Source organism: Homo sapiens, chromosome 14, assembly GCF_000001405.40.
Source record: "Homo sapiens chromosome 14, GRCh38.p14 Primary Assembly".
Taxonomy (NCBI): Eukaryota; Metazoa; Chordata; class Mammalia; order Primates; family Hominidae; genus Homo; species Homo sapiens.
In genome coordinates, this window is record NC_000014.9 from 84,029,143 (window position 1) to 84,055,214 (window position 26,072).

General features: G+C 36.5%; 1 long non-coding RNA gene across 1 annotated transcript; it reads right to left on the bottom strand.

Annotated features, from left to right (window-relative positions):
• Positions 1-19,553: 19,553 nt before the first annotated feature.
• On the bottom strand, positions 19,554-24,308 carry LOC124903402 (uncharacterized). The gene is made up of 2 exons (XR_007064378.1): positions 24,270-24,308; positions 19,554-19,663 (listed from the first exon to the last, which is right to left on the bottom strand). It is a non-coding gene; the product is annotated as an uncharacterized LOC124903402 (long non-coding RNA).
• Positions 24,309-26,072: the final 1,764 nt, after the last annotated feature.

A 26,072-nucleotide genomic window follows, 5' to 3' on the forward strand; every position in this document is an offset into this window, starting at 1 on the left:
ATGCCTATGAGTTTCCAACTAAATAAGCATATAAGGGTTTATTATTCAGTAATATTGGTGTAAGAAACTGGAACCTATCTTTCATTCTGAATAAAAAGCAATAAATAAGTCACTCACAGAACATGAAAAGTCATTATGTTATAAATCTATCTCATAGTTAAAAACTGGCTTATTTTCTTTAAATTAGTTACCTCTAATCTTAATTCACAAGTAGATCTCTATTAGCATATTAAGCTACTGTTCTTTTCCTGTTTTCATTTTTGTAAGACAAACAAGGTTTTTTAAAGGGCACCCTTGTTGACCTAGCTGCCTTTCCTGTATTTTATTACCCCTATTATACATAGATTCAATTTATAACAGATAATAGTTGCATAACATAGCACTGGGACAGCTGTGTTATTCATAATTTCATTTCCTCTAATAAAGCTTTCACATTTGAAATTGTTGTTTTTCTGCATTAACATATAAGTAAAAAGTAAGGATTAACTGGCTTCCCATGTAGTTGGAATAAGATGGGGGTCAATCTAAAAAATAAATAAAAATAAAATTCTTAAAGCTAGGTAATTGCTTCTATATTGTATTATTGAAACAAGCTTTACGTAGTTACGTGTTGCTAACCTCTGCATTTCTAACTATTCTTCAGTGAGAGAAGAAATATTAATACTTTAGTCTTCAGCAGTGAGTACCAAAAAGCAAGTATTTAATCCTGACCTCTGTACAGTGAACACCTGGTAGTTTCGGAGCAATATCTGGCAGCCAGTGACTGTAAGAGTTTCCAGTGGGAATGGCCATTCTTGTCAGCTCAGCAGTGGTGGTAACTGAGGTCGTGGGAAGAGAGCTAACCACGACTTCCAGAAGCAGTTGTCATCAACACAGAGAAGCCAAATGCAATCCCTTCCAATCAAATCCCTTATCAAAAATTTCCTCCAAAACCAATCTATTCTATCTCAGCGTCTACAATGGCATCACGGTTCTTAATATTGATAGTGTGTCCTTCCTTTTCCTTAAATAACAAAAGTTCTCTGCAGTTGTCAGGATATCCTTAGAGAAAAGCTGCAGTCTCCAATATAGTCTTACTGTTTTCCTATATGTTATATTGTGAGTGTCCATGTATAAGAACAATGTGTGGTGATAAATCACAAAGAAATGACCCCGCTTTTGGGTTTTTTAAAAATAACTACTTCCATTGATAAGAGTAAATTATTCATTTAGTGTCTTATCTCATTCCTTTCTAGTACCCTTTTTTTTTTTAACTTTGCAGTTTTTATCTTGAACCTCATCATTAGCACTTAGAGGGACAAATATAAGTGAAACAAAAGTCACTCTTTGATACATAATTAGAACTTAATTTTTATATATGTATGTACATAGATACATAGATGTAGATATATAGATATAGAGATATAGATATACTTTTTTTCCTTTCCAAGTCTTTGTCCTCCACAGTACATCATTCATTGTCACAGGTAACTGAGAGTTGATTCTTTACGTATTACTGCTAGGCTAGGTCGCAGGAAGGATTAGTTCTACCAGATTAACAGTTTTTAATGTTTTTTTTCCTTGTAAAGCCAACCTGAACACTCACAGGCAGAGTCAATGAGTTCTTACAGCCCTTGGATGCAGCCTTCTTCTGCAGCTAGGCTGGGATATTTTCCAGAATAGAATAGACATGTTCTAAAGTGTCTTGTAGAAAAAGCACATATTGACAAGCTGTGGTTGAACCTGAATCAAAAACAGTCGGGCCCAGTGCTTTGGGAGGCCAAGGCAGGAGAATCATTTGAGGCTAAGAGCGTGAAAGCAGCCTGGGCAACATAAAAAGACCCGCATCTCTACTAGTCCCTTCTCACACTGCTAATAAAGACATACCTGAGACTGGGTGATTTATAAAGAAAAGAGGTTTAATTGGCTCACAGTTCAGCATGGCTGGAGAGGCATCAGGAAACTTAAAATCATAGCAGAAGGGGAAGCAAGCATGTCTTTCTTCGCATGGTGGCAGAAAGAGATGTGAGTGCTGAGAGAAGGGTGAAGCCCCTTATAAAACCATCAGATCTCATGAGAACTCACTCACTATCACAAGAACAGCATGGCAGGAACTGCCTCTGTGATTCAATTATCTCCACCTGGCTCCTTCCACAACACGTGGGGATTATGGGAACTACAATTCAAGATGAGATTTGTGTGGGACAAAGCCAAACCATATCACCGCCTCTACAAAAAAAAAAATTAGAAAAATTAGCTGTATGTGGTAGTATGCACCTGTAGTCTCAGCTGCTCTGGAGGCTGGGGCAGGAGGATTGTTCAAGCCCATGAGGTCAGGACTGTAGTAAGCTATGCCTGCACCACTGCACTGCACTCCAGCCTGAGTGAGGGTGAGAACTTGTCTCTTAAAAAGAAGAAGAAAAAAAAAAGCTTGAGATGTTACTTTGAGTTCCTGTAAATCGTTAATTAACTATCTGCTGCATTAAGAAATATTTACATATAGAAACAATAAAAGTGTCCTCAATAGGAGACAGCAGAAGTAAACAAAGCCACATTTGCCTGATGGAAAACAATAAACATAAGGGATTAAGTAGTTCCACATAGTGATGTGAAGATAAAACATAGTATTAATTACATAAAGGGAAGCACAGAAGAATCTGTATAATATGATGTCCTTGTGTCAATAAACTTAAAGCATGATAAGTAGATACCTGAATATTTATGTGATGGTATATGTATTTATTACTGTATTCTGGGGTGGAATGAGTTAAAATAACCTACTAATAATTGTTAGCTTTGAGTAAGAGAAAACAAAATATTCTTTTACAAAATTTTTTGTTACCTTCTCTATGGTTTGCACTTTATAAATGTGCATGTTTATTGTTTTTACTTCTTTAAAAGCAATCCAACTATTAATAATGTAGGTGACCATTTGTGGCATCATTAGTAGGTTTGTTGCCTTCCTGACTTCATATGTAAAACAGCAACACATAAACTTTAAAACCTTAAAGTTATGTATAAAGAAATTGCCTGTCCCTGGAAATGAAGTTCAGTGTTCACCAGTATTAAAAAAATTTAATTTTTGTAGATTTACCTTTAATTTTTTAATTAAAATTTTAAATTGACACAGAATAATTGTACATATTTATGGGGTACATAGTGATGTTTGGATACATGTATAGTGTGGTCAGATCAGTGTAATTAGCATAACCATCATCTCAAATATTTATCATTTATTGGAAGAGGTATTTTTAAATATAAAGCAATTTTAGTGGTAATGAAGACTGAATAGATAAATCAATTGTTGAGACTTAGCTCCACGTTGATGGCTAAATATTTTATTTATACTTAAATCCTGAACCTGTTTTGTTAGCTCTTTCACCACATTGCAGAAATTAATGATTAAAATTTACTGACAGCATAATACTTTAGGAGGTGAAGCCTAGTGATTAACCACAGACCTAAAAGTGGGGGGAAAAAGATCAGAGGTATTAAACTTAGGGCAAGTGTATTATAAAAATCTATCAGTGAATTCTTCTTTTTAATCACTAAATAATAAGCTCCATGAAAGCTGATATTTTTATTAAATTTAGTCCCCATTTTCCTCACTGCCTAGAACACTACCTGGCAATTGATATATTTTCAATAAACACTTGTTGAATGAAAGTTCAAATGAATGAATGAACCGTGTGAACACCATGGAAAGTAGTAAATTTCTTTCTTTGCTTTTTTAATTTATGAGAATTTAAACTTCATAATTGCATTCATTGTGAAATACTTTACACTGAGAAGTATAGAAATGGAAAAATAAAAATTAATTATGTGATGTGTCAAATATGCCTTTTAAATTCAACTTAGTATATTTTACTGATACTGGGACTTAGATAAGAGAACTATCATAGAATTAATAACTGCTTTGAGCCTTTTTTTAAAAAAACACTTTACCATAAATATAATTTGTGTGTGTTCACAGCCGTTATTCAAGTGCATTTGAAATGTTTAGAACAAAATCATCTGTGATCCCTGCACATTGGGAGGCCACGGCAGGATGATTGCTTGAAGCAAGGAGTTCCAAACCAGCCTGGGCAACATCGTGAGACCCTGTCTCCACAAAAAATAAAATATTTTCCTGGCAGGGTAGTAGGCTCCTCTACTGTCCCAACTACTTGGGAGGCTGAGTCACCCTGGGTGATGGAGCAAGGCCCTGTCTCTAAGGAAAAAAATATCAAAATTAAACCAAAAGCTTGGACTCAGTAATTTATGGTGTTCAGGGATTTAGTGCAACAGATGAAAAAATTGTTACTGCCCAAGATTTTTGCAACCTTTCTCCTTCATCCAGCACATAGGCTGAAGAAAGTGGCCCAACTCCAGAACCCAAAATGACAAAGAGAAAAAGAAATTCTAAGATATCTGTATAAATCTAGAGCAGCAGTCCTGTACCAAATCATTAGTCATGGTTTAAAATTTACAACTACCCAAATAATAGCAAATGCATCAATGACCATCACACTAGTAAAAATGTACACCAACTGCCTACCATTTTTGAGAGCCTGTAGGGATACAGAAGTCCTAAAACAGTGTATACAGACAATTGTAGAGAAAAACAAATTTCTGAAACGGATACAATGATGTTGCCATTAAATTTTATTTTTTCCTTGGAAAGACAAGGGCAAAACTAGGCAAACACCTCCACTGCAAATTCTGAAGACCATTCCAAAGTCTTACGTAAAAACAAGCAAATTCAGATTTGTCAGGTGTGTCTTACAATTATGTGTGCACTCAAAAATATCATCTAATACATCTCTACAATTGAAGCCCTGATATCTAACACGCTAGACATCTAATATTTACTAAAAGCCTGCTGAGAAAATATCAGCCTCTTTCGTGTAGTAGTTTATCCTAATTGATTGGCTGGAATAAGGAGGTGTATCTCTTGGAGTATCAGAAAAAAAAACTAGGAAACACTGCCATTTCTTTCTGCTGAGACAAATGATCCATGGCCTACTCATTCTATAGGACTCTACAAGGTGTAATCTCAGCACTTTGCTTTGCCTAAATGCAAGGAAGGACCTTTTCTGAAGCCTTTTAATTTCTAGGGAGAATGGCTGGCTTTCTGAAATCAGACATTTTGAGTTGCATTATTTTAGCTATTAAGAGTGTGTTGAGCAGCAAGTATTCCCAAAGCGTGGTCCAGAACAGACAACTATCTCATCAATAGTTGGAGGCTGGGATCCGAAAGTGTAATACCTTGAGAGTATGGAGTGACTTTCCTCTCTAAGGATTGTAACAGTGGTGTTCCTTCAAATTTTAAATACACTCCAAAGTAAGAAAATAGCTGAAGGGTCTTTTGTCTGTATGTACTTGTATAAAATTTCACTTTGTACAATGGTACGTACATACTACATTAAGTTGCTCTGGAGATCTTTAAAGTGTGTATGATCTTGGGTTCTTTGAGTTCAGAATAAATACTAAATAAATAAATGTGTATAATAAAAAAGACAGGGAGAAAGAAGGAGCTGAGCAAGGTGGGATATGCCTGTAGTCCCAGCTATTTGGAAGTTGGGATGTTCGCTTGAGCCCAGGAGTTAAAAGACCAGCCTGGCCAAGAGATTGGGACCTTTGTCTCAATTAAAAAAAAAAGAGAGAGAGAAGAAAAAAAGAATAGAAAATTCATGGCAACTAGAAATATACACAGCCCCTAGAGTAAGTCTGTGCAACTATGCAAAATGTAAAAAAAAAAAAAAAAGGACATAAAAATGGAAGCTCCCTTTTTATACACTTAAATACCATGGCAATGTCGAATTTGTCTACATTTTTTGAAACACTCTGAATGTCTACATTTGTCTCAGAGGAAACATGTAACAAACATTCCACAAATAAACAGATCTCCAAATTGTGTTTTGAGTAGCTCTACTTTAGACTATGCTGAGGTAAGAATTAATGAGGATACGTTATGTGTAAAGAAATACATATATTAGAACTTATTTCATACTTCTATAAGAATAATGTTTCCGTAGATGATCTTTTCTTGCTTAAGATTTTCTGACTACTACTCTGATCACTGGAATTAAAAAGGCCCTTAAATTGGAGCTAAGTAAAATAATCTTTGATGTTAGTTATCAACACATTGTTTTATTACTAATAATAATTTACTACTTTGTCTCTCAAACTCTAGAGACAGTCTGACTAAACCATTTTTTCTAGAGGCCTTAAAAAAATTACAAAAATATACTTAGAATTTACAGCTCTAATACTATCAAAATCCTATCTTTTCATATAACTGAAATTAATATTATCACTTTATTTTGAGAGCTACATTTAGTTGCAAACTGACCTGGTAACCAAAATTTTTTTCTAATAATCTCTATCTCTAGACCTTATACTATTTAATGTCCTGCTGCTATCAACAGAATAGTAAATTCTCAGGCCAGATAATCTAGATTTACATTATATACACATTACATTAAAGTTACTAAACTTTAATATTTGAGGCATTAAAGAATAAAGAGGAAAATCAGCTTTTTCTTTTCTTTTTTTGGTTATAAGAGTGCAAGTGCAGAAATGAGTAGACCAATGAAGAGAATTGTACAGTGGAAGGTAAACAGTGAATTAGCCATAACTGCAGACACTGGGCTTAAACAGTAACCCTGGTGAGGTAGGCACCCACTTTGACTTCCAGCTATAAATTAACAATAATTATTACTGTAATAATAATATAATAATAATAATCCAGAGATTATAGCCTGATGTGATATAGTAACAGACAGATGTACAGTAGTTTCCAAGTCCCAATTAATGTGAATGAAACTATTTATAGAAGCTCATCATGCAATCATACCAAAGTGTTTATTTTGTTCTGGGACTTAAGACTTTAGTTACGATCGTTATACCAATGCAGAAGTTTCAAAACGTAGATATAAATACAACAATGTGATTTAAGAAAGAGAGAATATTTTTTGGCTGGGTGCGATGGCTCACGCCTGTAATCCGAGCACTTTGGGAGGCAGAGGCGGACAGATTGCCTGAGCTCAGGAGTTCGAGACCAGCCTGGGCAACATGGGGAAACCCCGCCTCTACCAAAATACAAAGGGAATTAGCCTGGCGTGGCTGTGTGCTCCTGTAGTCCCAGCTACTCGGGAGGCTGAGGCAGGAGAATTGCTTGAACTTGGGAGGAGGAGGTTGCAGTGAGCCGAGATGGCACCACTGCACTCCAGCCTGGGCGACAGAGCAAGACTCCGTCTCTACGGAGGGCAAAAAAAAGGGAAAGAGAGAATATTTTTAAAGGGTAGCATTTTATCTCTCATTTGCTCATGGGCACTCATTTAAGAAAAATGCAAAATGAATTGTAGTTTTTGTTGTTCCACAAGCCATTCTGAAAACAAAGCTATTGATGGTGAAGAAGGTACCATGTAAGTTACATTCTATGTGAGGTCAGTACTTACCAAAATCTATTTGGGCTTTTACATATCAGAATCATTATCGACTGTTGCTACTTGGTATAATGTTCTAAAATAAATGTTGTAATTATAAAGATATATAAAAGGTGATGTCTTGTATCTGTGTGTATGGGTGTGTTGAGTAGTAAAAAGCTACTTTAAAACATTTAAGAACATTATACTATTTAGCATCTGCATCTTTAAAAAAAAGGGTCCCTGGCTGATTAACTGTAATATGATCGTAGAAACAAGAAATATGGTGAATTGATTGACATAGTGATGAAAAACTGTAATCAGCAAATCTCCACACCCTATGGAAATTTTGCACTATGTCCTTAGCCTGGGGAACTGCTGGCAGATTCCACTCAAGTTCATAAACCATAGCATGCTCAAGAGGAAACAGAAAGGAGAGAACCACAAGATTGTACCAGACTGAGGAGAACTTGAAAAATGTCATCTGGATGTGATTCATTTCTCACCATATTTTCAGCTGCACTAATTTCAAACTTAGAGGATGTGGTTTTGTCACTTGTGATGAAACAGAACTGCCTGTTTCTAGTGCCATTTTACTGTATGACCTCAGGGCATGAGAACTGGGCAAGATCTCTACAGCCTGCCATGTGAAACTGAAACAAAGGAAAGGAGTTAGATAAAAGAGAAAATACACACGCCCTCCCTTTCCAGTCTCTTTCAAAAGAATTCCATCTCTTGGAGGGTAAATCACAAATGGAGACCATTTTGGAAGTTTCCTGTTGATGATAATCGGGGACCCGTTACCTATTGAAGCATGAGTACAAATTCCACCACTGATAAAGCAGGTGCATTTTTACACTATTGGAATATTCATGATAAAAGAGCATGTTGCTAAGTATGGCATTAATTTGACCCCTCTTGCTTCCCAGAGCTCAGTCGCTCCAGTATTAAGTTCAATGCTGTTTATTTAAAATGCAGATATTCCAGTTATTCTCTGCATTCTATGACATTGATAGCACAACAACAACTATACATGGCAAGAAAATAATTTCATGTCAAATATATAACTCTCCTGGAAGAGGGCTTTCTCAATGGTAAGATGTGAAGAGGTACATTTTCTCAGCATAATACGTAGGCTAATCTGCCACTTACAACAAGTATGCAATAATAGGTGGACAGGAGACAAAACCACGCGCACTCAAGCTTCTGGAATTGTTATATTCCAGGGCAATGCCAGAGATGCTGAGAGCATTCTGTACAATTTTCCAGAAGCTTTGACCTCATCCTTTTTAGCTCAGCGTAGCATTTGAAATGCATACCCAGATGAATATCCAGACACAGCTCTGCTTTATACAGATGCTCCTAGACTGACAATGGGGTTACATTCTAATAAACCCATCATAAGTTGAAAATAGAGTAAGCCAAATGTATTTAATATGCCTAACATACTGAACAGCATAGCTTAGCCTCATCGGGCAAAATCATGAAATACAAAGCCTATTTTATAATGAAGTGTTGAGTAGCACATGCAATTTATTGAATATTGTACTGAAATTGGAAAACAGAATTGTTGTATGGGTACCCAAAATATAGTTTCTACTTAATGCGTATCACTTTTGCACCATCAAAAAGTTGAAAAATTGTTGTCAAATCATGATAACTTGGGCACCATCCGCAGTGGCATTGTACTGAGGCTCTTAGAAACACAGAGGATCCCCACAGTATGAGGGGAATACGTTAAATATAGCCTTCACATAGCACATCGCAAACTAATAGGAAGAAGATAGAAGGGAAAAGACGATCTCCTCTCAAGTGTGCAAAGATTCTGGGGATTTTCAGATATATTTATATTTTTTCCTTCTGGAAATTATTTCTAGAAAATTTAGCAGAGCTGATCATCCTTTTCAAGACAAAGACTTACTACCTGGGCTGGAGCCGTGAAGAGCTTGGTTCTTTTGAAAATGTCTCTTACTGTCTGTGTGGCCTTAGATAAATGTCCTAAAATTCTTGAGTCAAGTACACTCAGATGAAGTATCTACACCTATTACACCTGTGGCACAGGCAGGGCATGTAAGAATGATCTTTAGAATGAAACTGGCACTTCCAGAGACATGGTCATAATAGAGACAGATTGCTATGCTCACTAGAATGGACTGTCACAGTACAAGAAACACCTTATACATTTAGACAATATGTTTGGTAGCAAGTGTTTTTTGATTATTTCTAACTTAACTGGAAAAGTCAATTAACAATACAGTCTCTTGGCAATTGTTACTCCTGATAGTAACATGTAGGCTCACGGAAGCGCATGTGCTCACAATATGCCAGTTTATAGCAAGGAAAGGAAGTACATGAAAAAATTAGCACCTTGCCAGACACTAATAAATGAGGATTCCATCCCTTCCCCTCCCCCACTGAGCTCTCTGTTCTTGACAAATGTGTTATACATGTGAATTATATATTTAAAAGTTATTTTATATTGAAAATAGGTTTTAAAAAAGAGTGATCAATACGATGTTTTACCAAAACAAAGTTTTATTATTCTTTTGTATTTCTTTATTTTTCTTTCTTCTTTTGTTTTCCACTTTTATTTATTTATATATATATTTATTTATTTATTTATTTTTGATGGAGTCTTGCTCTGTCGCCCAGGCTGGAGTGCAGTGGTATGACCTCAGCTCACTGTAACTTCCACCTCAGGGTTCCAGTGATTCTCCTGCCTCAGCCTCCCAAGTAGCTGGAATTACAGGTATGTGCCACCATGTCCAGCTAATTTTTGTGTTTTTAGTATAGATGGGTTTCAGTTGGCCAGGCTGTTCTTGGACTCCTGACCTCAGATGATCTGCCCTTCTCGGCCTCCCAAAGTGCTGGGATTACAGGCGTGAGCCACCACGCCCAGTTGTTTTCCACCATTTTTTAGTTGATTTATTTCCTAGTAATTTCATAGTTCTAGTCAGAAGATAAGAGGTCTAGCAGTGAACTTCCTTGAGATGGCAAAAAGGGATACTATTTTTCTGCTTCCATATAGTACATGGCAAGTTAATAGGAAGAAGATAGAAGGAAAGAGATTTTGCAGAAGTTATATTCAATATTCAGGAGACTGTGGGGAATGTTAGCAGATATAGATGCATACACACAAATTTCCAGGAGTGTATTCAGCAGGATGTAAAATTAAGGGATTGTTATTTTATCATCATTTTAGAAAAAGACATACTTAATATTTAACCAAATCCTACCTAATCTTTTAAATGAATATAGCAGAATGAAAAAATAGGCTTGAGTATGTTCCTAGATATAATTAAGACTATTTTAAGGTATAAATAGTAATGTCTTCTCTATTCTTAGTCCAACTAATGGTACAAAAGAAAATCTTATGCCATCCAGTCGTTCATTTGCGATTTATAGTAACACAGAGACATTAATTCAGAACAGTGATTGGATCCATAAGCTGCTAATCAAAAGAGGTCTAATGACTCAGGTCTGGAGCCTCATGTTTGTGGTCTGTGAGCCTCTTGGTATATTGGAAAGAAAATGTCTGAGAGATGCACCAAACCAACACCAAACAGGTGATAGTTTGAATGGATTCGAAAGGCAAGTATTTGAAGCAGGAGGAACTTTCTGATCTACAGACAGTTTCTTCCATAAATACCCCACCCCCAACACATACACATACACCCCAGGCACCAGACTCTAGTCTTAAAAGCTAAGCACAGAGAAAGGCTGGTTGTTAGTGGTGCAACCAGGGAGGATCAGCTTAGAAGTATTATATTTAATCTAGGCTGACTTCTCGCATCAAGGACAGGGTGGATTTGGCTGTCTGGACCTTTATCAGCAATTTTTCCTTTTGAGCACTTTGATTTGGCAAGCATTTCCACTATCTGATGGTCCTGAATTTAAGAATGTATCCCAGATTAAGTTCATCTCGTACATTTTTCCTTACTGTATAAATTTAGGAACACAGTTTGGTATGATTAGCTACAAATTGTAAAACAAAACTTTTGCTAAAGTTAGCATGTTAAAGCACAACATATTAAATATCTAGGATTCAATATTGTTTATTTTGTACAAAACACTTCTTACTTCTTACCTTTTTTCTTCCACTTGATCAAGAAGTAAATAATCAGGAAATGTTTACAACAGGCAGAGGCTATGTCCCTCTTCAAGAGACATCCTAAGATTTCACTCATGGCCACATCATGCTTGGTGGAATGCTTACACAAAGAGCCCGATTTGCACAACCTGATTCCCAGAGAAGGGGACATTTGAGGGAAAGTAAAAGAGAATAAGCATGTCACGTATTTTGCAGAGTACTCTGTGTGTGTGTGTGTGTGTGTGTGTGTGTGTGTGTGTGTGTGTGTGTGTGGCATCTCTCTCTCTCTAGTGGCTAGAACTGTCATGCCTGGTAATCTCATTAGGGTAGTGGTTAGAGTTCAAGAAAGGCTTCATAAAAGGGATTCATAGAAAAAAAATAACCTGTAGCATCATTTACCACTTAGCCTTACCCTCCTCTTTGGGGTGCCACAATTTACTCTCATGGGAGTGACTTAAAAAAGGCCAAATAATTGGCAGCCACATTTTCATTTTGTGCAAATTTCTTGTCTTTGTAAATGTTTTATTCCTCCCATGTAAATGGTTATCAAATCAGAAATATGACAAGCATTTGGGTCGTAGGTAAATTTGTAATGGGTTAATTTTGCCTGCTGCCCCAATAGAGCTGATTTATCAAGACAGGGGAATTGCTATAGAGAAAGAGTATAATTTACACAGAGCCAGCTATACGAGAGACTGGAGTATCATTATTCAAATCTGTCTCCCCAAAACTTTGGACACTGGGGATTTTTAAGGATAATTTGGTGGGCACAGGGCCAGGGAGTGGGGTCAGAAAGGAAATCACAAAGAGTCAAACTGGATTCTTCTTGCTGTCTTCTGTTCCTAGATGGATCACAGAATTGGTTGAGCCAGATTACCTATCTCGGTGGCATCGCCTGGTGAATCAGAATGCAGGGTCTGAAAAATATCTTGAGCACAAATCTTAGGTTTTACAATAGTAAAGCAACTGGGGAGGTTTGGAATCTTGTGGCCTGTGGTTGCATGACTCCTAAACCATAATTTCTAATCTTTTGGCTACTTTGTTAGTCTTACAGAGGCAGTAGTCTGGTCCCCAAGCAAAAAGGAGGTTAGTTTTGGGAAATAGCTGTTATCACCTTTGTTTCAAAGTTAAACTATAAATTCCTTCCAAAGTTAGTTTGAACAAGGGCAGCTTAGAGGTTAGAAGCAAGATGGAGTAGGTTTGGTCAGATCTCTTTTCACCTTTGTCATTTTCTCAATGTTACATATGTTTTGCAAAGGTGATTTCAAATTTAGGGCTAATCTGATGCCTAATGATTTTTAAATCTGGATATGTACTGCATCTAGAAAGCAGAACAGACATTATTTCACTGATACTTAAAATTAGGGTTTCCAAAAGGGAAGAAATGAAAATCTCAATTCACTTTAACTTGCGGCCAGGTCCGATATTTTAAACTCTAGTTCCTGATGGCATCTTAAATTCAGCAAAATACTTTTACCCAACACCTTTGGAGAAGGAAGGAGAGGGGAGAAAGTATATGTATGTGTATATAAGTATGCATACTTCTCAAAACCAGACCCCCTCCTTTCTTAGCCAAAAGTATAAAAATCACATGCAAAACTCCTTGTTAGGGACCAACAGTAAGTGCTGCTACCACCCTGGGCTGTCAATGGTGCCTTTCTGCTTGCAGCCTGGGACAAGCCACCTTTGTTTTTGAACAACATTCAGCAATTGACCTGGCTGATCTTCCACTTCTTTCCCTTTCTTTCTGGCTGCTTCAAAAGAATGATTCTTTTGTTGATGGCAAACCAGCAGAGACTTGGCAGCACCTGTCTTTATTTAAAAAACTGATGCCTGGCAGTTACCTTTTTATTTTTTCTTTTTTAGCATGAATGAATCTGCAAGAGGTTAATGGTGCCCAGTAGCACTATTATAATTAAAATTCTGCCAGTATTTTTATAACAACTGTAGATTTCCAAAAACAACCTGGAAATGCTTTGCAAACAATTTAGAAAGTAGTACTAGAAATCGTTTTTGAGGTATAACAATACGCGCACGCACACTATAGTTTTGGCCTAATTCCTGCTTACCAGAATAACTGACTACCATGCTGCTTACTTGTTTACTTTGAAAAACAAAAAAAGCGAGTCTGTTTTACGTCAGGTGAACTACCTTATCTACATGTGATTATCCAACAGGGAAAATCATGTCTTTCTAACGCAGTATATTCTTATGGCATATTGTCTCTGAATATTCTCAAAGGTAAGTACTTAGGTATCAGGATGTTAAATGGGGTTTTCTGTTGTCTTAGTATTTTGGCTAATGTCCAGAGCTGAAACCAGTTGCTTTAAGGTACCAGCACATTTTAAAAGAGTACCTAGACCCATCTGTGGGACCCACTGAAAAAGAGCAAAACCATTTCTGACATCATTTGTTTAACACCCACTTGCCATCTGCATTTTCAGGTTAGAGATTTATCAGAGCAAATGAAGCTCATTTGGAAGAGTGTTGAGTGAGTGTTGATAAGACAGGGAGTGGATAGCTTTTCCCTCCCTTCCCAAACCAAGTGAGAGTTTTGATAAAACTGGTTGAATAGAGAGTGGCTGCTTGCCAGAAGGGCCAACCAGAAATGCTCTCTTCAGCTGTGTGCTTGACCAAGGTTGACATGCAAAGTTGCAAGTGCCCCCTGGAACGTGAGGAATATTGAAAATGTCCCTGACTCCTGTAGGAAAATACCCATTATTTTCACATCTGCCATGAAACATTACATGTAATCAATAAGTTGCAGTACCTACTGAAGGTCCTTTTCATTTATTTATTTATTTATTTATTTAGCCTTTTTAACTTTTCTCACAATTTTGGCAAAAGCAAACACAGCCTGCTGGGGTTAAGGGGGTGGGGGAGGAGCAGACAGTGGTGGCTGGAGCAACAAGAGGGAAAAAGAGACTCTGAGACTCAATCCCTCACACATATCCCCACTGTGGGCCTCTGAGATGCTGAGATAAGACAAGGTGAGACTTAAATGAGTGAAACACTAAGACTTTTAATTGAACGTGATGTAGAGGTGTAGATTAAATGAATGTTGTATGACTACAAATTAATACAATTCTAATATTCACAAGTGGCAAAAGTGGGATCTCCCTGAAATGCTATCAATTACCAGAAAAACAAACACAGCAAATTATTTGAAACCAGAAAGGGAAGAACAAATCACTAGACTAGTTCCACTAATAGGCCATAGTAAAAAGAAATTATGTAGTATAAACCAAAAACAAAATTTTAAGCCCCCCAACCATCTGAATGGACACCTCCTCTTGGCAATTGTATTCTAAAGTTAACATGAAAAATTAATTCAGGCCATGATGTGAAGGAGGGGATGGGCATGCCTCTTTATACCCTCCTCCCTCTTGAAATTACGGATAGAACAGGCTCTTTAGGTCCGAAAAGAAACATGTACAATCTGTTCTCTCTGAAACCTGCTACATGGAGGCTTCATCTGCATGATACAACTTTGGTCGCCACAACCCCCATCCTAACCCAGACATTTCTTTCTACTGACAATAACTCTTTCAACCAATTTCCAATCAGAAAATCTTTAAATCTACCTATGACCTGGAAGCCCCCACTTTGAGTTGTCCTACCTTTCTAGACTTCACCAATCTACATGCATTGATTGATGTCTCTCTCATGTCTCCCTAAACTGTCTGAAACCAAGCTGTGCCCCAACCACCTTGGGCACATGTCATCAGGATCTCCTGAGGCTGTCATGAGTGCATTTGTTTCTTTTCTTTTCTTTTTTTTTTTTTTTTAAAGACACAGTCTCGCTCTGTCACCCAGGCTGGAGTGCAGTGGCGTGATCTCGGCTCACTGCAAGCTCCACCTGCCAGGTTCACGCCATTCTCCTGCCTCAGCTTCCCGAATAGCTGGGACTACATGTGCCCACCACCACGCCTGGCTAATTTTTTTGTATTTTAGTAGATACGGGGTTTCACCGTGTTAGCCAGGATGGTCTTGATCTCCTGACCTCATGATCCGCCCACCTCGGCCTCCCAAAGTGCTGGGATTACAGGCGTGAGCCACTGCGCCTGGCCAATGAGTGCATTCTTAACATTGGCAAAATAAACTTTCTAAATTGATTGAGACCTGTCTCAGATACTTTTGGTATGCAGTAGTTTAAACATAAGTATGAAAATTCATATTTTCTATTATTTTACAAATCAGTAATCTTACAATAATACAAGTTCAAAGATAACCCTTAGCTTTTCTCCATCTGCAACTTTAAACCTAAAGAGAATTTTGAAGCCAACCACAGTAGTTTTAGAAAAACTGCCACAGTCAAAAGCTTTCAAGAGGGGTCATCTTGTAATGACCTGCTTGGATTCATGTGAAAGGATCGTAGGGTGAACATTAATAATAAAATGAGATAAATCTGAATTTGAGTTTCTGCTCTCACATTTGCTATCTCTTAGGAAGTCAATTACTTAATTCTCTGCATTTCTAGTTATTCATTTGTAAAATAATAAGTAATAAACACTGTTTCATACATTTGTTGAAAGGATGAAATAACTTAGAAAGGGTGTTTGTATGATGAAGTTTTGATAGAAATTTTTCCCTTCCTTTTTCCTTATCTTCCCTCCTTTCTTTCCCTCATTCCTTGGTTATTTTCTATTTGGTTTTCAGGAATTGTTAGTTTTTCCCTCCCTTCCCCCAGCTCTTTATTCCCTGAAACAACTACATTTGAGTACCTCCAGTAACCACCTACTTATGAAATCCTTCCTAAAGCAAAAATTTCAATTTAGTCTTTAATCATAAGGGAGTGCCTATAGTTCAAATGAGCTAGACCAAGCAATTGTCATTTTTCCAGAATCCGCTCAAACCCACCTGCGGTTTTTGTAACCTACTTTCTTTCAGTGATGAAACTCCCATCCTGGATCCCAGGCAAAGTGAATACATTCCTATCCTAACTATAAGCCTGTCATTTCTTCACTTGAGAATCTTCTGAATAAAATGCTTTTCTCCAAAATTAAACCCTTCCTAGTTTCTGTCAAATCTTTCTCTGGGAAAAGAATGCTGACATAAACTTGTACCACTCTGTGATAGGAAGCGTCATGCTTTCTTGAATGTTGTCCACATCAAGTTTGAATGTAGCAAGACAGACACAGGTTCCTGTTTTTATTTATGGGTTCCAGTTTTTATTGTGGATCCCAATTCACCCTCACCCAGGTCTTGCTTGACTGTTGATCTAACATACCTATAGCAACGTTAGTTCCGAAATTAGGCTAAGAGCCTTTATCTTTCTCTTGCTAAAATGAACGGAATGCTTTTTTTCCTATTTCATATAATTATGATTTTAATTCCAATCTTGAAGCCTTGCTTTTGAATCTTTTCCAATAAAGAATTACTAGCAGAGAGAAAAAATGAAATTTATAGCACAGAAGCATTTATGAGATATAGACAGGATCATACAGCCCTAGTGTGCTTGAAATCTTCCTTTAAAGATTTAATGCATATTAACTTTTCATTTTACATCATAGCATATTCATACATGTTTAAAATTAAATAAAAAATTCTCCTTCCCAAGTCTTTGAATAAGTAAAATTTCAGAGAAGATATACGCCTACTTCATAATTTCCGATGCTTGGTGGATCACTGCAATGTTCAGTGCAGACCAGTTCCAGCTTGGAAAAATCATCATAAATGGTTTCTTACTATTGAAACTACTATGAAATTTTAATCTTCAACTTTCTCCTTTTCGAGCTTATTTTTATTCTTTCCTGAATTTTCTTAACTTAGAGGTCTATATCTGTAAAATTATCAATGCCTATTGTGGAAAGCTAATGTTCTAAGCTCCAAATATGTTTTAGATAAAATTTGTAGAAACAATATGTTTTCTTTAAAGCAATTTTATGATCTGAGGCTCCCATTGTCATAATTACCTCTAACAAAAAATGTAATCTTATAGTTACAATTACTCAGAAAATTATTCCATATCTTTTCCTTTTCATTGTGTGGCAAGAAACAAATATTGTATATTAGAAAAACCTTAACTTAAAAATTTCACTAAATAATTTTTTAAATTAGTTTGCTGAAATCATCTTATGTCATATTTTTATATGTAACTATTAAGTTTTAAGGTAATTCTTCAGTTGCAGTACATTAATGATGTGTATAAATCATTTGATTTTCATATAGAGACAATCTCAAATCTAAGGTTATATTTTACAGGGCAGTGGGGACCCATCCTGGTAACTAATGGAAGAAAAAGACATTTAACCAAGTTACATAAGTTCAATACATAGAAGAAATAAAATCATCAGCACTCATAGTTTATTCTCTAACAAGGAAGTCTCCAGAGATTAATGATTAGTTTACCTATTCATTTAATAGCTATCAACATTACTGCAATCTGAAATCTCAAGAAAATAATTTTTTTGACCTTTTGTAAGTGCACATTATTAAATACTGGAAGAGCCAGTCTAGGAATAAAAGAACTCATGAGGCTGGGCACGGTGGCTCACGCCTGTAATCTCAGCACTTTGGGAGGCCGAGGCGGGTGGATCACAAGGTCAGGAGATTGAGACCATCCTGGCTAACACGGTGAAACCCTATCTCTACTAAAAATACAAAAAATTAGCCAGGTGTGGTGGCGGGTGCCTGTAGTCCCAGATACTGGGGAGGCTGAGGCAGGAGAGTGGCGTGAACCCGGGAGGTGGAGCTTGCCACGAGCCGAGATCGTGCCACTGCACTCCAGCCTGGGTGACGGAGTGAAACTCCAAATCAAAAAAAAAGAAAAAGAATTCACGATAATGGGAAGGTTTAGATATATCCTAACTAAAAATTTTCCATCTATGATGTTTAATGTTTCTACTCTGTTATTAAATCCTTTTTTATTTTGACAAAATAACTTATGGTGCTTAGTAGCCAGCTGAAATATTGAACTCTGGCCTCTAGTATATGTATAGAGATTACCTTCATATAAAATGTAATGGGACTATAGCATTGAAATAGCAATATTCCTTCAGAGAGATAGTAATTAGGAATGTTAGAAATAAGATGAAAAAGAACAACGCTAATCCATTTGGCTTAAGAAAAATAGAAATAAGACAATGGACTCAAAATCTAGGCATTATCAAAGAAATAAAAAGGATTAACCACGTGTTTTTAACTTATATTAAACACTTCAAAGCAAAGGTTGTCCTTTGAAAAAATACGGCAACTACTTTGCTAGTTAGAAGACTGAAATTGGAAAAAAACAAAACAAAACAAAGCAAAACAAAACTCCACATTTTCAAACCTGAGAAATGGTGGGGAAAAGAAAGGGAATGAAAGAAGAAAACAGAGGAAAGAAAACAGGTGAGTTAGAAGATACAGATAGTCAAAACTTATCTTCAAACTGGTGGTTTAACTTCTCAAATCATGGAGGAGGTTATTAAGGTTGAGGAAATCTCTGAGGACCAGAAATTTTTTTTTTAATTTTGGTTATATTTTGGGAAAAACTAATATTGGATTTCCCTGAGGTCAAATAAAAGGCAATAGAGGAGTAAAGAAAACAAAACAACATAGGTAGAGAAAAATCTAATTTTCACTTCCAAGCTTTAATCATTTTTTGTATGAAGTGGGGAGAGGCCAAACATGGAGGCTTCTACGCAGGAGTGCATTGCCTTTACACTGTTACCACTGTTATACTGTAGAATGAGTGGACGGGAACAAGAATGAAGGATATGTATGTTAATCAGAAGAGTTGGTAACACCAGGGAGGACTGATGGAAGCCCAACTAGCAGGAAAAGGCCACTAGATTCTGACAGAGCTAAGAAATATTAAAAATTAATGAATCAGAGATATCAACAACAGAAAACATAAGGATGCCCAATGACAGGAAGTGACCATTTCTATCGGCACAAAAATCATCCAGCACACATGTTGAGATAAGGATGATCACATGTGTCCTCTTCCCTCCAGCCAAAGCCAGAAGGTCATGCAAGGCACTGTCCCCACACGTCTATTACCATCTGATAGTGGAGCTATGAGAAAACCCGCAGGACTAAACTTATAATCTAAGCAGACAGAAATAAACTTAAATATAGAGCATTGCATATTAAATATAAATATGTTTTATTCAGATTAAGGAAACTTTGCTGCTGTTGTTGTTGTCCCTTTTGTTTCATAACACCTAGAAGTTGCAGTCACATTGGGGCCATCATGACACTTTAGGAAAGTAAAGAAACAGCGTATTATATATATCACTGCATCTAGTATAAATATACTTAAAATGTGAAAAATAATTTTTATTATGCTAATAAATTATGCCAATTTAACATATTAAGCACTTTTGCATAGCATATTTAAATTATTTAAATGTCCATATATTTTTTTAAAATTGTTTAATTTTTATTTTGCTTTAAGTGCTGGGATACATGTGCAGAATGTGCAGGTTTGTTACATAGGCATACTTGTGCCATGGTGGTTTGCTGCACCTATCAACCCATCACCTAGGTTTTAAGCCCCGAATGCATTAGGTATTTGTCCTAATGCTCTCCCTCCCCTTGCCTCCACACATCAACAGGCCCCAGTTTGTGATGCTCCCTGTGTCCATGTGTTCTTATTGTTCAGCTCCCACTTATGAGTGAGAACATGCAGTGTTCACTTTTCTGTTCCTGTGTTAGTTTGCTGAAAATTATGGCTTTCTTAAAATGCTCATATATTTTAACATGTATTAAATAATATTTAAGCCAAGCGCGGTGGCTCACGCTGGTAATCCCAGCACTTTGGGAGGCTGAGGCAGGTGGATCACTTGAGGTCGGGAGTTTGAGACCAGCCTGACCAACATGGAGAAACCCTGTCTCTACTAAAAATACAAAATTAGCCGGGCATGGTGGCACATGCCTGTAATCCCAGCTACTCAGGAGGCTGAGGCAGGAGAATTGCTTGAACCCAGGAGGTGGAGTTTGTGGTGAGCTGTGATGGTGCCATTGCGCTCCAGCCTGGGCAACAAGAGTAAAACTCCGTTTCAAAAAAATAAAATACAATAAAAATTATATTTAAATGTGCTTTCTCTATTATTTCAGATACAGGTTCAATTGCTAAAATAATGGCAAAAATAACAGTGGGCTAAAGTAGAGAGACTATTTTTTTTTCAGTCATCTCCCTGTAAACAGGAGGCTTAAGCCTCCAGACCTGAAGCTAGGTCCCAGATTCTAGCTTGTCTTTTTGCCATACTTAGCAGATGTCCTCTATTAATAGTACAAATCCAGGTTCTGCCATCAAATCTGTATTCCATACAGTTGGGAGGGGATAAGAAATGAAAATCACTTCTTTTCCCATTAAGAACATTATTCAATATTTGTAAACATTCCTTCTCTTCACATTCCATTGGCCAGAAATTAGTCACATAGCTCATTACCTGAAAGGAAAGAATGAAAATAGTTTTGTTTGAGTGACCATAGACTTAGTAAAAATGTGGGCATTTTATTACCAAAGAGAAAAGGGGAAGAATGGATATTGGATGATCACCAGCAGTTTCTGCCGTGCCTGCTTCTATACAAATGTAGCTAACATATATTACATGCTTCAATGTAGGCATTAAATGTATCTGAATTTGTGACATACACAGAATAAATTAATATTTTAAAGGGTTTTTTAATGTATTAATCACCATCTTTTTAACAGAATTCCTCTTCGAAGAATTCTTCCACCTCCCGAGTTTCAAAAGGAGAATAAGTAGTGTGTTATCATGTGTATGGAGGCAGAGCAGATTCTATTCACTGGTTGTATTTGCAAAAATCTGTGTGATACAGTGTTAAAAAAAGTACTAGAGCTTTATAACTACAGCAGGAACTTAGGCATAAGCTCACAAGTGAATCTTTCCTACATCTCCAAATTCTAATAATACGGTAGAAAAGAATGTATTAGAAAATATGCATAGCAATTTTGATAGTTTTCTGAAAAGAACTGTAATTGCATACACAAATAAATGAAAAATTTATACCCACAACTCAAAACATTCCCCAGAGAAATCAACATGAGAAATCCTAGTTTTTCTTCAAGAAATCCACAAAGAATTCTCGAAATCAAGAAAAAAAAATAGTAGGAAGGGGACTTGTGGAAATTATAATGAAACTTACTTAAAGAACAACATTTATTCAAAAAACTTATAAATTTTTATAGCTGTTGATATAGGATAAGATCATGATCACTACCTAAAACTTCATATGATTTCAATATGTTAATTATGCCGTGGTGAAATGACGCTGAATCACTAAGTACTGGGTCAGGAGATAAAAACTATACCAGTAATTGGAGTAGTGGTACTTTCATTAAAGAAATGTTAAGTATTAAAAAGAGATTAAGCCTCAAGTGCAATTTAAAAAAATCTATAGAGTATAGGAATAGCAGATGTAGGCAATAGCCACCATTTCTAGGGCCAAGGGGAATTACTGAAAGGAAAGACAATCTTTGAAGAAGCATTTCCTAAGGCTGAATGTTCTACCAACTAGGCAAGGGTGCAGCTGTGCTCAGGGAATGAAGTTTGCTGAGGTGCAACAGAAAGAAACTACTGACTATGAAACCATATGCTGGGGTATTGCCACAAATCATTGAATAAATAATCTCTTGGAGGCTGGCAAGACTGGCTGGTGATACTTGGTAGAAAGATGCCTGCTGAGTGTTTGTGATATTTGTTGGATGGTGTGGGTCACTGGGTTTCATGTCCACCATTGGTCAAGAAGCACCCATTGGCCTTCATGGCATAGAAGCCAGAAGAAGCACACTCAAAACAGTAAGATAAACTCCTTCAGTGTCCTCTACCGAGCAGCCTAAAATTTTGCCAGCTAGCAAAGAAGAAATGTTTACAGGGTCCAGCTTCAGTATCACGAATCTGTGTTAAGAAAGATGGATTTGAACTGAGAAGAAATAATTTTAAAACTAGAAAAAAATGCTAAGATTATTTTCATTTTGGGAAAAAATATACATTCTATTTAACTGTAGGAAGTGACAGAAAGGTATTCTAAAGTGTGCTAAAACTTAAGTATGACTTCTGCTTCCGCTCTGAATTTTAAAGAGCTTGGGAATTATGATGCCTGTTTTTACAAGAAGAAACATGTGGACAAACTGAAAATAACCATAACTATTCATGGACTCACTGGAGAACTGAGGTGACAGGAAAAATCATTGCCCTGAAATCTGGAAAGACAAGTATATCCAGAGGGAGACACAGGGAGGATTTGCTCAGCTGGAGCAGAAGCCACTGGAGCCACAACCTAGTAGGAACAATTAAATTATAGTTTTGATGAGGTGCTGGAGGCAGAAAACGAACTTGTGTGAGAGTGAGAAATTCTTAGGAACTGCAGTCTTCAAACAGGGTGGCACATTTTGGTGGGTTTTACATTAGAAACCCCCCAGGTTCTCCTGATGAACAAAACAAGAAAAATATCCCCCTGGTTCTGGCTGGGGGAGATGGAGATTGTTAGAGTAACTATTGTGAAATATACCTAGAATCTGCTCTATAACAAAAGTCTACTCTCCAGAGAAAAGACATTGCCAGACCTAGGAAAAGGGTAATGTAAACATCTATCTAGACAAAAACTCTAAGAAAGGATTGAAATTCTAAAAATAAAAAGCGCTGTAGCAGAAATAATAAAAAAGCCTTATACAGTATCATTGTTAGACTGAACACATCTATAGTAGCTTGAAGGTAATGCAATAGAGACTTCCAAAGCACAAATGCAAAGAGAGAGAGAGAAACACACACACACACGCACACACACAAAACACAAAACAAAACAAAAACAGAGCAAAGCACTGAAGAACAGCGAGGCAATTTCAAAAGGTGTGACATATACATAATCGGAACACCAAAAGAAGAGAGAACAAACCTGAATGAATATTTCATGTAATAATGGCCAAAACTTTTCCATATGAATGAAAGACACCAAATCACAGATACAGGAAGTTCAGAAAAATCAAACAAGATAAATACCAACAATGAGCATAACACAGCATATAGTATACAAAGTACAGTAAACCACAGACAAAAATTATCTTTGAAAACATCAGTGAGAAACAATGTACTTTTAGAGGAACAAGGATATGGATTACAGTAGCTTTCTCATCAGAAACTACAGCAACTGCAAGGAAGCAGAGAGTGGAGTGAAATATTTCAAGGGTTGACAGAAAAAAATCTAGAATTTTTTATGCAATAAAATTATTCCTTAAAAATGAGGAAGTAAAAACTTTATCAGATAAAGAGAAGAAATTCATTATCAGCAGTCCTATCCTGCATGAAAGGTTAAAATAAGTTTGTCCGGATGAAGAAAAATAGTATAGATCATCAACATGGATCTGCATAAAGAAAGGTAGAGTATCAAAGAAGAAAGATGTAAGTATAAAGCATATGTTTTACTATGTTTAATTTATTTTAAAGTATAATTATTTGTTTAAAGCAATAATAGTAACAATGTATTGGGTAATAGTAGCATATTGATAAATGAAACGAATGTTAGCAATGTCACAAGGAGAGGAAAATGGAGAATATTCTGTTACACTTAATCTTAGCCAAAATGCGGAGAAGTGATGAGAATATTCTAAGGTATCTGTACTAAACATAAAGGATACAGTCGTATTAGAAGGTAAACATAAATCATCTAAAATGTATATTTTAGCCAAGCACAGTGGCTCATGCCTGTAACTCCAACACTTTGAGAGGCTGAGACGGGTGGATCACCCAAGGTCAAGAATTCAAGACCAGCCTGGCCAACATGGTGAAATCTTGTCTCTACTAAAAATACAAAAATTAGCAGGGAGAGGTGGCAGGCACCTGCAATCCCAGCTAGTTGGAAGGCTGAGGCAGGAGAATCACTTGAACCCGGGAGGCGGAAGTTGCGGTGAGCCGAGATCACGCCACTGCACTCCAGTCTGGGCAACAGAGTGGGGCTCCATCTAAAAAATAATAAAAATAAATAAATAAAATATAAAATAAAATGTACATTATAAACTCTAGGACAACCAACAAAAATATTTTTAGAATGGATACAACTGATACACTAAGAGAGGACATAAAATCATACAAAATGTTCCATTAAAAATAAAACAAGAGATCACAGAAACAAAAGAGACAAAGAAACAAAGAACAATTGCCATGAATAGAAAATAGTTATAAATATTATAGATATTAATAAACTATATGTCTAATCATTTTAAATGTGAATGATCCAAACATATGAATTTAAAAGTGGAGATTGACAGAGAGGATTAAAAGAAAAACAACTATATGTTGTCTTGAAAAAAATCTACCTTAAATATAAAGTGATAGGTTACAAGTAAATGGGATCAGAAAGAAATACAGTGCAACACAAATAAAAAGAAAGTTGATGTAGCTATATTAATTTCAGACAAAGCTGACTTCAGAACAAGATTATCAGCAATAAAAGGGAACACAAGAACATGCTAAGCAAACAGAATAAAGAGTAAATCTTAATGTGTATAAATGTAAACACACCATTTAAAAGATTAGAGTATCACAGGACATGCAATCTGTGGCAAAAGAATAAAATTGTATACAAAGGTACAAAACAACATCACTGAAGGCCATGGAGAAAAAAGGTCATAACCTTAGTAACTTTGGAAATGAACAGAGTCTATAAGACTAAAGGCAAAAAGAACTATCTAACTGAGCCTAATACTACTCTAGTTAACAAAGATTTTTCCCATAGGAATAAGAGTAAACAATTCTGAAACACACATGCATACTAGAACTGAACAATTAAGTAAATGAATAGCATTGGTGAAAGCCAGGTTTGTCACTGCTGAAGTGGGACTTCAGAGAAAAGCAAGGCAAGAAGGTAGAATAATCCATGTGGTAAGGGATTACAATTGGCTCTCATCATTATGGACTCATGTTTAGCTTAATATAGACAGCAATAGATATAGATTTGGATATAGATATAGATATAGATGATGGCACATATGGATATGTATATGTGTATACATATATTAGTATACACACATATATTCCCTTGATCCTTCAGCTGAGGGGACCTAGGAGCAATGTCACCCAAGTAGCAACCATACACTGTCTTAGTTAATTTTGCTGCTTAACAAAATACCTGAAACTTGGTAATTTATAAAGAGTAAAAATTTATTTTTTACCATATGGGGAAAAAACTCAAACTATTTTTTCTTGGCTCTCACACCACCACAACAATAAATAAAAAAGACTTCTGTGACCAAATGTGTGGGGGCCCTCTAATTCAGTTACATTCGGGTGCTATCTACCTGGAGATAACCTCAGATTCCACACACTGGGGGCTCAGTACCACATAACTCCCCCTGACTTCAGACAACACCTATAAGTCCCATCCTCTGGAACTTTTAACACAACCATCTTAAAGTTGGGGTTCCCACAAACCCCTCTTTAGTTCTATTAATTTGCTAAAGCAGTTCAAAGAATCCAGGAAAACTCACTTGCGATTATTGGTTTATTATAAAGTATATTACAAAGGATACATATGAAGAGATACAAAAGGTGAAGTGTAGAGACGGGGCGCTCAACCACTCTATACTTCACCCTATGTGACTCTTCATCTGTGTCCTTTTCTCTCTCAAGCAGGACAACATGCTC